Source organism: Homo sapiens, chromosome 9, assembly GCF_000001405.40.
Source record: "Homo sapiens chromosome 9, GRCh38.p14 Primary Assembly".
Taxonomy (NCBI): Eukaryota; Metazoa; Chordata; class Mammalia; order Primates; family Hominidae; genus Homo; species Homo sapiens.
This window is the reverse complement of record NC_000009.12, coordinates 101,025,833-101,042,187: the sequence shown is the minus strand read 5'-3', so window position 1 is coordinate 101,042,187 and position 16,355 is coordinate 101,025,833. Positions and strand designations below refer to the sequence as shown.

Sequence of the window (16,355 nt, the reverse complement as noted above, 5' to 3'; positions counted from 1 at the left end):
TTGAAAAAGCTACAAATTATCTGATAAATTCTGATTTATCCTCTAGTGACTTTAAACTTGTTGTAATGTCAGGCAATCCATTTACCCAGTGCTGAATGATTAAATTTCTCTTCTCTCTGTTCTTCTTCTATAAATTATATTTTCTCTATATGTGTTTAGCTTTCCACCACCTGCCTCCAGACTTACCTTCCCTGATGACGCTCATAAAAGCTAACATCTTTTAAGAGTCTAGGCCATCATATTCTCTTTTAACATGGTTAAACTTTCCAAGAATTTTACATTTCTTTTCAATTGGTTTAGTACATTCTTCCATGTAGTTGGCATTTAAGTGAGTGAAAACTTCTGTTCAAAGCAAGAGAACCATAAAACATTCAATAATTGCTCTCCAAGGAAATCCACAGAGACGGAGACTCAGACTTATGTTTTTCAGGCAACACTGCCACTCCTTACACAGCTTCCCCAGGAGGGACTCCAGGCACAACTTCAAGTAGTCCAAAGCTTCTTTATGGCCCCAAAGTCCTCCACAGAGCTGCCTCTGGCTGCTGTCCCCTAGACCACACAGACCACAATAAACCACATAAGAACATCTGTCAGCATTTCACCCAGAACCAAACCTAGTAGCCAGAGGTACATTCACACTTAAAGATCCCAAGATAGCTAGATTTCCCATAGAAATTTGTGTTTCCTCAATAACAGTTCATATATAGAAATAAGAAGGTATATGTCCTAAATATTTTTAGTTCACCAAAGGTATTTTCTCACCTTGATTCCTTAATCTGTGTCGCATTTGCTTATTTTGTTGTAGACAAATGAGTCTTTATATTAATATAAAATGGAGTTGTATTTCTATGGGTACCACTTAATTTCATCTTCTTCCATATGAATTGCACCGCTTTACCTGGCCATCTTCCATTAACTAGCTAGAGGGAGGCAGAATTCAGCTCCATCAAGAAGAAAGCTTTAATGTTGGAAGGTCCCACAGTGAAATAGACTCATGGCATAAGTAAGCTCTCTGGCATATGCCCCAACTACCAGAGATCCATGTACTCGAAACCCAGGTTGAGACACCTCTGCCTCATTAAGAGCTGTCCTATGGGACCAAGCCCCTACATTGGGGACCATTTTCCACTATGCGTTCACAGATCTCCCCCATTCTGGGCCTCTGGAGCTAACGTCACATTTTAGATGTTCTCTTGCTCTCCTGCGTTTCAGACCTAGTGATTGCCACCGGTGTCTTAAATCCATTCTCAAGACGATATTTTTTTTTCTTTTGTTCATTTATTAAATACATTTTAATTAAATTTATAGAGTGTGACAGGTACTCTTCTAGGTCTTGGAGGTATAACAATGGACAAAATATACAGAGTCCCTCATCTTATGATGCTTACATAGTAGAAGGAGGCCGGTCACAAATAAACAAGTAAACAGACATATGAATAATAAGGCATTTATCAGTACTAATGCAGAAATGCAAATCAGAGTAAAGAGTTAAAGATTAATGGGCTGAGTGTTTTAGACAGTTATGAGGGAAGGCCTGTCTGATGACACTTGAGCAGATGTGGTGGTGGGAAAGGGAGACATTCAAGTTTTTGCAGAACAGGCATTCCAGACTGAGCTAACAGCAAACGCAAAGACCCTGAGATGAAAGTATGTTTGGGATGTTTGATGAACAACTCTCAGGATCCTGGTCAACCACAGCTCACACCCAATCAGATTCTATCTTGGGTATATCCATTATAGTCACCAAGAAGGGGAAGAAATGGAGCCCTGATGCCAAAAAGGAGAGGCTGGACAGTTTCTTGTGACATAGTATGAAAAAAGAGATTCCAGCACTGAGTAAGTGGCTGGGATTCTTAACATTCACACCTCAGTTCCATGATTCTGTGCAAGCATATATATGTGTCTACATCCAGGTGACCTACCAGTATAACTAAGGCAAATGAGACTTGAAAAAACATATTTAACTAATAGTGATAATAGTGTTATCTTTATGCTTGAGAAAGGTAGACATTATCACCAATTCCCAAGTATTTGCATGAAAATAAAATCATGCAGACAAAGAGGGCTGAAGTTTAATTTTTATAGCAAAGTTTTGATGTATTGATCAAATGCTTTCATTTTCCCACCTCTTGCTATGTTCTGAATTCTACAGTTCATGGATCAGCAATGACTAAAGATGATATTCTGAAAAGTTTTCAAATTATTAGCATATTGAGTCATATTTTCAACTTCTGGTTTAAGTCTCTATTTTTTTTTTTTTTTTTTAGGAGGCAATACGGTTTGGCCGTGTCCCCACAAAAATCCCTTCTTGAATTGTAATTCCCACAATTCCCATGTGTCATGGGAGGAGCCCGGTGGGAGGTGACTAAATTATGGGGTGGATTTTTCCTGTGCTGTTCTCACGATAGTTAATGAGTCTCACGAGATCTGATGGTTTTAAAAAAACAGGAGTTTCCCTGTATAAGCTCTCTTTTCCTGCCACCATCCACGTAAGATGTGACTTGCTCCTCCTTGCCTTCTGCCATGATTGTGAGGCTTCCCCAGCCACGTGGAACTGTGAGTTCTCCATTAAACCTCTTTCCTTTGTAAATTGCCCAGTCTCAGGTATGTCTTTATCGGCAGTGTGAAAATGGACTAATACAGAAGGTAAGAAGAGTGTTATTCAGTATTTTAAAGCTTGACATCTAAATGGTTCTAAGCACTATGTCAAGTGATATAGCCCTTATAGCTGTATATCATGGGTATATCAAAAATAATGAATGATAATGGCAGCTACAGTTTCATTGGTCATGTTGTGGACTCTGTGTTCAGGCAAGTAATTTATTTATCTCATAAAAACATCACTGTGGGAGGGGTACTTTTATTATCTCCATATCACAGATAAAAGATCTGAGACTTCATAAGAGTAAGGAATTGGAATAACATCACAAAGCTAGTGGATGGCAGAGCTCAGCCTAGAACCTAGCTCCATCTGACGCTCTAGTCCAAGCTCTTAACCACCACATGATCCTGCTTTCAGAGCAGGGAAGGATAATTAGAGTATTTAAGAATCAGAGTTCTATTTATGCTACTATCATGGAGAAAAATCATTGGTTAGTACAACAAAGATTTCATGACTTGATTAAAATTAGCAGGTAAAATTCATTTATCTTGGAATTCATTCCTTAAGGTTCAAGATGGCAAGAAGCTAAACTGAAAAATAAATCTCTACCAATATGTTTACAGATGAACACTCTCCCTAGGTAACATGGGCACCACCTGATCTCAATATTACAGCTGATTGTTGTCTAACTTCGAAGTGTTATTCTATTGTGAGAATATCAGGCCATGGAGAAGGAGAAGATAGAGTGCAGTGAGGGGTTATATGGGCAGGGATGGGCGGGAGGATGGGCACGCAATCTCTGCAGCCATTTGTGGGTTAACAGCAGTTACATAAGGCATGAATTTCAATGCGCCAGAAATCCGTTGCTCAAGCTAGTATTTGTGGAGTTCCCTTGTTCCCTCTTCTTGATGTGGGGGTTGATTTGCAGTCAAGTGTAATGAAATCAGCACTGGTTTAACAGGCTGGAAACTGCCTGTTATCCCAGCCTCTTCAATCACCAGTTGTGGAACCCTGGACAAATCACTTAACCTTGATGGACCCTAATTTTCTTATCTAGAAAAATTAGACAATTTAAAAATTAGATTAGCCCTTCAAGCAATTCTGTGAATCAAGGAGAATTTACAGCTTTTGCCATTTATTAAGTCCTCTCGTTATTTTTTTCTCTTGCTAGAATGTGAATGTTTCCAAAGTACATAGTACAGTAGGTAGCTCTTCAAATGAGCTCAGAAAAAATATTTGTTCAATGACTGAATATACATGAGGACTGATGGCCAAAGGACCCTAAGATATATCAACTGAGCTCTATTTTAAGATGGAAAGCAACAGTCATCCTTTTCATATAAGAGTAATATTTACCAAATATTTATTAATGAAAAGAAATTGCTTCTATTTGAAATTATAGCTAAAAGTAAATAGTAAAATAATATGTAAAGTTAATCCTACCTTTATAAAAATAATAAATGTAAATGTTAATGGACCAAAAATGTTGAAGAAATATACACCAAACAACTGATAGTCGTTTTCTGGGAAAGAGGTTAGAGCAGAAATATGAGTGATATTTACTTTCTACACTAAGCACCTCATTATATCTACATTTTGTATTTTATCATAGTACACATATAATTGGCTTAATTCATTTTTAATTGCTAAAATACATTGTTTCAAACTAGCCTGGCCAGGAACTGTCTGTGTCACATATTACATGTCAATCCATGCAAAAAAAAAAAAAAACTAGACCCAAAAGACTGTCTCAAACCTAGAGATATTCCCTTGCTTTTACAGCAGAAAAAAAAAAATACAGACAGATAATGTTTTTTCCAGTTAATACAAGTGTGAATGAAAAGGTCTTTCTATTTTTTAGTTCCTGTGACCCCCAGGAGGGAAGGCTGTGGGCTGATTATTAGAGCATTTGAGTGTGTGGGTTGCCTGGAAGCGATAGCTAGCAAAGGCTGGGAGATGGGAAAATGATAAAGCATGCTTGGCTTACAGAGCTGCTGAGCCGAACAGCAGTGCTCTCACCCAGATATTATTCTTGTTAATTGTATCTGATTCCACTTGATTATGTATTTCATTGAATCTAAATGTTGGTGGGGGAGGTCCATGCTACTCATCAGAAACCTCAATAAAAAGGGCACCCCAGAACCCCTCGACAGAGAGCCATGCAAACACATTACCCTTCATTGTGACAGATTTGCTCCAGTAAATATGATCACTTTTTCTTCACCCTGTGTCTGTAAGCATTTCTAGAACACTTGATGCCATAATACCCAGAGAAAAAGCCCTTTCTAACATAATGGAGGCAATATACAATATGGACTATCATGTCATGTAAAAATTTATAACATTCACACAAGCAGGGGATTTATTTCTTATGTGTATGCAGTTCTTCTCCCTGTTATTGATGAATGGAAAAAGATAAATGTACCGTATAATGAGGAAATAACAGCACGATGTGGAGCTGACTGCTGACTTCCCATCCAGTTAACATGGACAAGCTGCTGAAGCTCTCATCTAAAGCTTCATGGCATCGTGGGTGGCAAGAAGGTTATGGGGTGATCTGAAACTCTACACCTTTGAGAATCAGAAGGATTAAATAAGATAAGCATAGATTTTGGACTTAGATCAGGTTTTCAGTCCAGCGGTAGCTTTGAGAGCTTAGGTAAGCTCTTAATTCAGTTTTCTGAGACTTGGTTTACTCAGCTGTCAAATGGGGATACTGATACCTATTTTCCAGTGTGTTGTAGAGGTTAATAATCCATAGTAGTAGCTCGTATGGTACATAGGAGGCCTACTGAAAATGTCTTTCATCTATTTCTTTTTATCCTTTTCATTCATGCTTCTTTCCTTTCTTCTTCTTCCTCTTCTTTTTTTTTTTTTTTTTTTTGGCAGAAATAGCCAAGCTTTGTCATTCTACCTTCCAAGCTTGGCCATTCTACCTTCTGACCTCAAATCTTCAAAACAGGCCAGCAGTGCCATAAGCCAAGACCAGCCAAGTTTATAAATGGAATAGTTTTCTTCTCTTTTCTATCTTGGGTCTTGGGTCTTCAAAACACTTAAAAATATGGAAGTATAGTAATAACTACATGTAAATTTACAAATTAAGGACTAGTCTAGATGATCTTTACATTTTCCTCTAGCCCTAAGACAAAGAGATAAATAGAGAGATGACAGGCAGATAGAGCTTTTATTCTTATCCTTTTGGCTTTGCTTTTACAATGTGAATATAACGTTTATTGACCAGAAGATTAGCCAGGTCATGAAATGCTTATTAGCAGTTCATACCACAATGATGAATGGTGTTTCAATATTTTCAATCAGGGCCCTTGCCATATACACTGTTCCTGCATTTTTACACCAGTATAGGAAAGCTAGGATGTATCCTTTGTGGAAAGAGCAGGGCTGGGACTAGGGTCAGATGAGTGAGGCACCTGCATTGGGCACAAAATTTAAGACATTCCAAAAAACTCAGTAATCAAGGTAAACAATATTTTAATGCAACATTTAAAAAAATCGTAATGCAACATTCCATGATGAACACACACAGTATCAAAATTTTAAATAAAGTCAGGAACCAATCCTGCGTTTGCTTCTCTCACCCCACCCTCACCCCAGCCCTGGGCAGAATCTGGGTCTGAAATTAGAATATGAGAATTCTGGCCTCCATTCTGATATCACTTAACTACAGTAAGCAAAAGCCTCAGGTAAGTTGCTGCAGTTCCTTAGTTCTCAGTTTCCTTGTGTCATTTCACTTGAAAGTCTGACTAGGTAACTTCTAACGAATCTTTGAACTTGGGACAATCCTATGATTTTCTATAATATGAAGTTGCTTTATTTGAAGTGTCATCAATGACTCAAAAGGAGAAGTTGGTTCAGTAATTGATTCAGTTATTCAATCAAAAACGTTTACTGAACGCTTATATATGCCAAGCACTATGTTAGGCACAAAAAAATACAGAGTTGGGGACTACTGAAACACATAGAAAGAGAAGCCAACCTTAGAGTTAAGAGGTCAGGACAACTTCCCTAGAAAGAGACTCTGACCTAAAAACCCAAAGGAGTTAGGGGAAGACAAGGACGGAATTCCAGAAAGAGGGAACAGCATGGCGAAAGGCCTGAAGGTAAAAAGAAAAATCTCATGGGGGTAACTGTAAGAAGTTTAGTTTGGATGAAACATTAATAGGATGGATGGGGGGTAAAAAGTCTTTGATTATAGCACAGTAATAGAAGTATTTGCCAGAGTATAATGCAAAGACACAGAGTTATGAGTCAAACCCGGGTTGCAGTTCCTGCCCTGCTGCCAAATAGCTAGATGACAGAGTTTCCACATCCACTGGGATTCTATTTTAGAACACATGACAAATTTTTCCATGAAGGGAGGCATTTAATTTCCTACGGAATGTTGTAAATCTCACATTTGAGATATTTACAGTTTATGTCCCTCAGTACCAAAGAGGTGCTGTAATTAATACAAGTAGTCGTTTCCCTAAAACAATCTGCTAAACAGCTAAGTCCCTGTTGTCTGATGCCTATGAGCCTGAAGGTGCAAAGACTAGGCTAAACGCAAGCAAACTTTCATCTTCCCCAGACAGGTGTGAGAAGTGGGCAACTAGGCAAGTGTTATTGGCAGGTACTTCCAGCACATGTCTACTCTACCTAGGCTTATGACAGCCGAGCTGGTCTGCGCCTGCCATATTTGTGTCTGCTGATTTAATTTCTGCACTTAGGAAGACAGGATTCAAGCCAACTATTTATAACCAACCCCCCCGCCCCCAAATTTTTTAATGAATGCAAAAGCACACCATCTCTTGAGTCCTGAGCATAAAGTCAAAGCTTTATGTTTTTAACCTCACTGCTATCACACTTAATACTCTCCATTTATTAGGTACTTACTCTGTCCGACCTTTACAACAAACTCAGTTAATCCTCACAAACCTCTGCAATGGGATCCATCTTAAAAGCAGGAGTAATTGAAAGCACAGAGAAGTAAACTGTGTGCCCAAAGTCGCACAGTTTATAAGTGGCAGAGCCAGAATTAAGAATTCATTTAATTTAGAATTCTGAATCAATTCAGAATTAATTCAGGTTAACAGCCTAACTCTAGAGCCTGTGCTCTTAACCGCTGTGCTACATAAACAAGTCAGGCTCATCAGCCTGCATGCCCAAGTGGTACCATTGAGGTATGGCACTCAGAGGCTCCTTAAGTTTCCAGGACATTCAAGGATCTGAATTCTCTGAGTTTTAGAGGACTCATTTCAGTCATGTAGTTGTGGGGAAGAAGAGCATCTGCTGTATCTGTCCTCAAATATATCTTTGCATGCTCTTGGAGAAAGGCATCCTTTCTCCTCTCTCTCTCCTCTCCTGTTCTCATTTCCCAAACCCTTTGTTCTTAGACACTAGCTGGTTCCATCTGCTCCCTTTTGATAAAAAATGCACTTGAGACTCACTGTACCTTCTCACTGTACCTACAGCCCCATAACTCTTTCCCCTGCTAGACTTCATAAGTGACTGATAGTTACGCATTGCACGTTTTTTTTTTCCTCCCATTCCCCACTGAACTCTCTGAAATGGTTTCTGAGCACACTGCTATACTAAAATTGCTTTCCTAATGGTCACCAGAAAACTCTTTTTCATTGTCCTTTTTCAGTTCCCTACTTTCAACCTTTTCAAACTCCCCTCACTTAAAATCATCCTGGTAATTTATACATTTGATGAAAGGAAATTGCTTGTACAATTATGAAAATGGGCTTTGAGACCTGACTCTGATACTTTGTAACTTGGTAGCTATGGACAAGCTACTGGGACCTCTCTGTTTCAGCTGCTTCAGCTGTAAAGTGGGAATAGGAGTCATAGGTGTTGTCAAGATTAAATAGGATTCCACGTGGAGGCATTTAAACAAGTCCTGGCACAGTTGGGACTGTTTCTGTGAAGTCTGAGCACTCCTCATGGTTCCCTGAGGCTTTTGCTTTCATGCCAGTTCTTTTCCTTCTTGTCTGAGTATTCACTTCCTATGCTCTTTCCTGGGGCTTATTTCTCTCCTTAATCCCTATATTTTGCTAAATGCTGAAATTTAGTCTTTGGCTGTATGGTGTCCTTCTCTTCCCATCTTCTTCCCTAATAAAAATAATACTTGGCATTTACTATGAAATCACTAGATGCTGGGATCTCTACTAATGCTTTCCAAGATGTTCTGGTGTCACCCCAAAATCAATTTCTGCAAAACAGCATTAAGCCTTTTACTTTCCTGAGCTAACCTCCTTCCCCATCCCTCTGTCACCATCAATCCAGCTACCAATGGTCAAACCCGAAGTGCTATCTTGGATTTGCCTTCTGTTGCACTCCCTGTAGTCAATTTGAAAACAAACTCTGACTATGTTTTTTCCCCATTCTGGCATCTCTTAATGGCATTTTCAGATTGAAATTCAACATGTTTGGGCTTGGTTCAGTAAGGGACCTAGTTCCTGGGTCTGCAGTGTTGATGGCTGGAACACAGATGATCTGGCCCTCATTCCAGGATGCCAAGATGCAATGAGCTCTTTAAGTGAGATCCTTATGAACTCTCTGGTGCAGATTATTTTTAAAGTTTTCACAATGTATATTAAATCCGGAAATTCTGACAAGAAAGGGGGAAAAGGGAATTTATACACACTGCCATACTACTATGTATCAGCAACTGTGCTAAATGCTGTTGCTTCCAAGATGCAGTGATGAGCTCATTTTTTAAACATAAAAAAGAGTCATGATGCTATTTCTTAGTGGCACTTCAGGGTACAGTTCTTCTTCATAGGGGCAGCTGAGAAAATATGTTTTTTGTTTTGATTTGTGGCCTCCTTGGCACATTTTAACACTGACCTCCAAGTCAGTTGATCACGTTGGAGAAATGGAAGTCATGATTTATCTTCTACTATTCTAATGCAGGAATCATCACCTCATGGCTGGATTTCTCATTCATTTATTTAATGATTCATTCAACAAATATTTATTGGGTCCCTACTCCATACCAGGCCTGTGCTAAATGCTGGTGATGCCACTGTGAATGCCTTACTCTCACAATGCAAAAAAGGCAGCTACACAAGTGAATGCCAGGAAAGAAGAGGGTGATATAGGAGCACACAGAAGAAGGAAGGCCCTTCTTATATTAGCAGGCTTTATTTCACTTGTCTTTCAGATACATCTCCTCTTGTCCACCCCTACTGCCACCACCCTCATCATTTAACACCTACATTTCCACAATAAGTTCCCTGCCTCCAGTCTCAACACCTCCAAGTCATCCTCCACACTGTAGTCACAGTCATCATTCTCTAATGCAAATCTGATCATGTCTCAAACTTTCTCAACTTTCAAACAAACACCCCTAGCCTTCCCCATAAAATTGAAGTTCTTATGCTTGGATAGTTCCATTCACACTTGATTGCTGCTTATGTCTCTTGCTTGATGTTGTGCCACTGCAAAAAGCTAAGAACCCATATCTGTCGCTACAGCCACACAGAACTACTTCCAGGCCTTTCAGAGATATTTCTGCCTGGAAAGCCCTTCTTTCCTCCTTGTCCTTGTTCAAGACTCAGCTAATGTCAAGCTCTCTGAGAAACCTTCTTGATCTTCTTACTCTCCTTGAGTTGGATGCCCTCCCTTTGTGCTTCCATGGCATTCTGAGCATATCTCTAAAAAACTCACTCTATAGCATTACTTGTTAACTGGTGTCACCCAGATGCTGTTCACCCTCAATGGCTCTAACCACATGAGATGGCTTATTGCCACCCTAATTTATCAGACACTCTCAAGTATTTCCTCTGCCTGGAATGTCCTTTCTATCCTTTCCTCCCTGGTAAAAGACTATTCATTTTTCTCAAAGATCACCTGCTCAAATCCTCCAGGGAAAGGAAAAAATCACTTTCATGCCTGTACTATTGGCACATGGTTTAACCTACAATTACAGCAGTTAATCAGATTGCATCATAGTTAAATACCTGTTACCTTGATGATTGGGACCATTTTTTACTTTCTTATCTTTTTTTCCCCAGCCTCCAGCATGTAACAAGTACTTATACATGTTTTCTGAATGGTGAGAAAATCCAGGAGGAGGGGATGAAGTGTACAGCATACACGTTAAGAGCTCATAGTACAATACAGAACCATCCTGCTTTCTATTTCATGTGTGTTCATCTTGTATTTACAACTAGAACATAAACACTTTGAGGGACAGAACTATGTTACATATTTTATATGACTTCCAATGCTAAATACAGGATAGGTGGTCAATAAATCCTTGTAAATAGAATCTAGTATAATCAAAATAAACTGATCTTGCAGATGAAGGAAGAGGAAATATATAGTAACAAAGCAAATAAAGAGCTCTAGTGAAAGCAAAAAATATTCTTGATCTTTTCTTGCCAAGGTTTTCAAAGAAAATGATGAGAGTGTTCACCATGGGATAAAAAGGACATATGCTGACAATTATAGTTAAATCCCCTCTATGCCAATTTCACTTGAAAATATTCCTGGAAAGGTCTTTACTTCCCTAGTTATTTGAAAATAAAACACTCAGATTTCTATCTTACTGAATACCTTTAAAATCATAAAAGCGAAACTATTTTAATAATAAGCATCCCTTTCCCAATTCCCCCCCACCCCCTGCTTCTTTTTTTCCTTTCTTAAAAAAGCTTTTCACCTTTGGCTATGCTTACTTATGAGTGAAGATCACTTTCATAAGTCATTTCTCAATTAATCTCACAAATATCATGCTTTCTCCCACTTCAAAGAAGTCACAAAATGTTAAAGATAAAAAGGTCCCCATCCCAAGCAGCAGAGAGACTCCCCAACCTGTCATCTCAAAGTGAAGAGAAGCCCTCACCCCCACCCGTGAGGAGCAGCAGGCATAAGTACTGGATCTGAGCTTCCGGAGTTTACTTCTTTCAGCATCAGCTTGGCTTCCAGATTCCCCATACACTTTTCCTAAAAATACAAGGCTCCTGACGTGCACAAGAGCCAAAAATGTACCTGTCTGCCCAACCCGCCTTTCAGGTACAACCAACACGTCAAGATGGAGAAACTTTCACACGAGGCACTTTCTAGACCTAAACAACTAATTTGTAAGTATGCTAAATGTTATCCCAGAAATAGTGAAGTCTTTTACGCTCCAGATGTGACATTCTAGACACCTCAAAACTAGCGTCCCACCAGAAGAATAGGAGCTGCCAACCATACAAGCAGAAGGGGCATAGAAATTCAGTGAAGGCTGTAGTGTACGTCCCCTCCAGTCAACCTCTTCCTGCCTTCATTAACCTCTAGTCACACCTCTCCTAAGTGACCATTATTTGTCCCTCTTCTATCTCCCTTTGTCCCAGTCCTGGACTCCTCACAGGCTGACCCAGTCTCTGCTGTTTCAAAAGGCCATTCGATTTGACGCTTTTCCCGGGTGCAGCGGGTGCACTGCACTCTGAGATCCCGCCCCAGTAGTAGAAAGGATTTTAGGAAATCCTTTTCTCAGGACCTTTTCCGTCGGGCCGAAGAGATATTCAGAACCGTGCCTGTCCACCAACTAGATAGCAGACACCACAGAATCTCTCCCAGGAAAGAGGTTGAAAGGAAAAAAACCCGACATCCCCACAAAGAAAAATAATAATCCAGAATCCTCCACATATTCCACACGTGCGTGTCATAAAACCCTTGGGAAATGGGTTGGGAGAGGATAAAGCCCCGTCTTCCCACTGCCGCCGCCGCAGCAGCAGCCCCTGTTCAGCTCCCAGCGCTGCCGCGATGGTGTGCGTGAAGACAGCACCTTCCCTGAGGAGGAGAGATCCTAGCGTCCTCCGTTCTAGGAGGTGATTATGGCAAGCCTGTCAGTAACTCATCATTTATCCCCGCACTGACCCGAGCCTCACCCCGGCGCCTTTGGCACCGGAGCTCGATGAGAAAGCCGAAGGCCGCCCCTCCAATTTTCCAGGTGACACACACACCCCACTATGCGCCTAGGACGCAGAGGGGTGGAAGGGAAGGATGACAGGTGCCCATGCCTGAGGGAAAATCAATGGCAACCCTTACAGCTTGGGGTGAGAAATCTCAACCCCCGCCCGGGTGGGAGGACTTGGCATCAGCTACCTGCAGGGCGCCTCCGCCTGCACACCCACCCAACGCGTGCAGGCTCGCGTTGCAGCCCGGAATGCAGTCAGGAGGGTGGAACGGGACGGAGGGAGCCTCCACGCCCCCTTTGTCTCCACGTTTCCCAGATGACATGGAAGGAAAGTTTATGAGCAGGGAGGTGGTAGCTTTCTGCTGGGTCAATCTGACACCTCGCAGGAGGCGACCCTCCCTGGGTTCGTCCTCTCCTCTGCACAGCCCCAGCGCCGCCTTCATCTGCACCTCGACACCCACAAGCAAGGCATGGGACACCTGCGCCGCCGGGTCCGGCCAGGAGCTTGCCCCGCGCTGCCCTACTGCCCCGGTGCAGAGACTTCCCCAGCGGCCCGGCTGCGGGCGCCGCACTCACCTCCCGCAGCGGAGCGTCCTCCAGTGCGCCCTACTGGGCCGTCCGGCTCCCGGGAGCGAGGTACATTCAGGCGGCGGTCCGAGACACGCTCTCCAGGCGCTGCTGCATTCCGCTTGCGTGGGAGAGCAAGCCGGCGAGCGAGCGGCGCGGGCGTGTACGAGTGTGTGTTTGTGCGAGTGTGTGCGCGAGTGTGTGTATGTGTGTGTCCGTGTTTGTGCGCGCGCCCGTGGGGCGGAGGTGCGCGGGATCACAGATGCCGCTGGGCGCCCATCCCGCGCTCTGCTTCCTCCGCTGCCTCCTCCTGGCGCTGCAGCTTGCACAGGGTCCAGGTTTCAGGATCTCCTGTTTGTTTAATGAAAGGAAAGAGCAAAAGGCTGGCGCGGAGGGGGCGGAGGAGGGGAGAGGCGGGGAGGGTGCCGGGCTGCGCATGCTCAAGAGAGACTCAGCTCTGGCTCCAGAGCCCAGACAGAGCAGAGAGAGTGAGCTCGGGGTAGAGGCAAGCCAGCCAGATTGCGTCCAGCGGCAGTCGCTCCGCGGGGTTCCCAGAAGGCAGCGGGGAAACCCCGCCGCAAAGGTGCGCCCTGCGCGGGGACTCCGCGGCGCATGCAGAGCTGGAAGCCAGTGGTGGGATCCCCACCCATCCTTGGAGACCGCTTCTGCCTCGAGTCCTCGGTAACGTGGGGCTGTCCTCTCCCGGTGTGGTTTTAGCGCTGGCGCGGGCGTTCCTGTGGGCCATTCTCTTGCTTTCTACCCTGCGGGCAACCGAGATGCGTCTCCCCAGAGGTCCAGGAGGAACCACAGGCTGCAGGTCGCCCCGAACTAAAATGAGTTTCCTGGTGTGTGCTTCTTTCTTCCCCTCCCAACTTCCACTCCTTTAAGAGCAAGAAAAGGCAACGTCCAGTCGGGTCCCACAACAGCTTTAATGGGGCGAGGGCGAGAAGGGGGCTAGCGATAACTCTTCCAAACAACAAAGGAGGAGTGGAAGGAAGGTGAGTCTCTGAGGACCCCATACTAAGCCTCCTTTGATGATAGGGGTAAATGGAAGAGATATTTGCCCTATTTAAGAAGGCAAAAAAAAAAAAAAAAAAGAACAATGGGTTCATTGTCCCCTTGCCTAGAATGCCAACGCAATTCTAGGTCTTTGTGAGGCCTCTGGCTATTTGGTAAAGTGGGAGAACTGTCAACTCGAAGAGAGTCCAGTAAGAGAACCTGAGCCTGCTATGGCACAGTAACCTGAGGCCAGGGGAGATGGCAGGTGAGAGTCGTTGCAAGTAGAGTGGAAACTTCTTGGATCAGATTGTTCTGTGAGCAAAACAGAATGGTTAGGATCCATTCAAGAGCTTCTATTTTCAATCTCTTCCCTGTTTAATCGTTCTGTCTCCCCACACACCACACCCCATTTTCTTTCCTACAGAAGAAAAGACATCCCAAGCAGGAAACTCCCTGTAAAGAGATTTCTACCTCCTTTTTATTCATTTTCTGTCCCTCCAGAAAAGGATAACCTTTGGTCCCCTCTGCTTTGGAGGAATAGAGGACAGCCTGCCTTGTGCAAATCTTTTCCAAGCTTTCATTAAAGATCACCTCTAAGCATTTCCACTTTACAGTGGAAGCGAGCAGATGCCTTCTTGCTGAACTCTGACCCACATACCATTCATCTTCCCAATAATAATGCCAAGTGACACTCGAACAGCAGGACAATTAGATCAAATCCTAGAGCACACCCAGAGGAGAAAAAAACAGCATGTCTAAATACCACCAACAAAAGTTTAGGAGAACAGACTTAGAGGAAGGAGAGAAAAAAAGGAAAGTTCTTAAAAAGAGAAAGTGCCCTGGGTGTAGTGGCAGGTTTATTTTCTCAGTAGATCCTTGAAAGAAGTAGAATTGCAGCATCTCTTTGCTTAAAGGACAAGTGAGAGTAAGTCTCCATCCACCAGGTAGGGGAGATCAGGTTCTCCTGAAGAGCAGCAAAGCCTCTATAGTGAACCATGTAGGGTATTTGGAGCTCCTCCTTCCATGCCTGTTTATATCAGGACTTCCCTTTGGTGCTCGGCTTCTTGGAAGGCATCCAAGATAGATCTGCCTTGTTGTCACGTTCCCCTCAGAACAGTAAACAGTGTTCACTAGAATTGCAAGGTGTTAGTATTGGTAGGGCCAATTGCTTCCTTGAGGCAAGATAGCCATTCTCTTTGCCCTGGTGCGTAAGCACAAGGTGAGTGACGGCTTTGAATTCATGAACTAAGAGGGGCTGGGGTTTACAGTTCACTCAATAGGAGACAATTCTAAGGCACTTCCTCCTACAATGATAAGTATCCAGGGTTGCCTGGCCAAGAAGCCCACTCTATCTGAGCCTGGCCTTGGGTGAGAGGGAAAGGGATACCACTCCCCTCAATGCTTAGGGACCATCTCTAAGCAGATGGACCTGTTCGCCATCTCAAAGCAGAAAGTAGCTCCAACAAGGTGAAGGGTGAAGGAGAATTTTTAAATGCAGAATTGCAAATAAAGTGAAATCTCTTTATGGTGTGTCTGCTAGGAGATGGTGAATGAGCAGTTCTGGAAGAGATTTTTACTGTTTGGGGACAGTAGGGAAAACACAGGGACATTAAGTGAGATGATGTACATAAAGCACTTAACATAGTGCCTACTGCCTAACAAGCTCTGCATAACCTGTAGCTCTTATTTTGGTTATTAATATTTTCATTATTGTGATAGTTTATTTTTTTAAAAAGGCTAAGAAGCTCTTTTTTCCTTAGCTTAAACAAGCAAAGCAGATTAAAGCCAAAAGCCTTCCAGTTTTTCCTTCTGGCTTCCTCCATCGCCCCCTCACTCATCACCCTGATCACTGATGTATTCAAATCCATGTAATGAAAAGCATGCTACAAAGATGTGTGGCAGTGTGAATGGGGAATAGCTCCAACTCTCACCCTTCCACCCACAAATCTAGACGTAAGTGTGAGATAGCTTTGTCTTTCAGTAACATGCCTCAAGCACTTTTTGCCACTCATGTCTCACAGTGATTAAGGACTCCTGCCTGGCAGGGTCTCTTGCTATAACACCCCACCTACATTGGAATACCAAGCTTTGTATTTTCACTTTTTTTTTTTTTTGCCTGCCTTCTAATTTTAGCTATCATATGTGTTACTCCTCCTAGGTAACAAAATGCCCAAAGCCAATTAATATGCACACATCTGCAGATGGTTTGAGATAAATTAATGGTAAGAATTTCAGTGGCTGCCAGTATTTTTAATGCTCCTTTATCACAGATTTCAGACT

General features: G+C 42.6%; 1 protein-coding gene across 1 annotated transcript in view; it reads right to left on the bottom strand.

Moving 5' to 3' along the window:
- The window catches only part of PLPPR1 (phospholipid phosphatase related 1), a 296,409-nt gene extending 282,948 nt beyond the window's left edge, over positions 1-13,461 (bottom strand). Inside the window, exon 1 of the mRNA NM_207299.2 lies at positions 13,086-13,461. The gene's annotated coding sequence lies outside the window, so the exon portion shown is untranslated. The remainder of the gene's footprint in view (positions 1-13,085) is intronic.
- Positions 13,462-16,355: the final 2,894 nt, after the last annotated feature.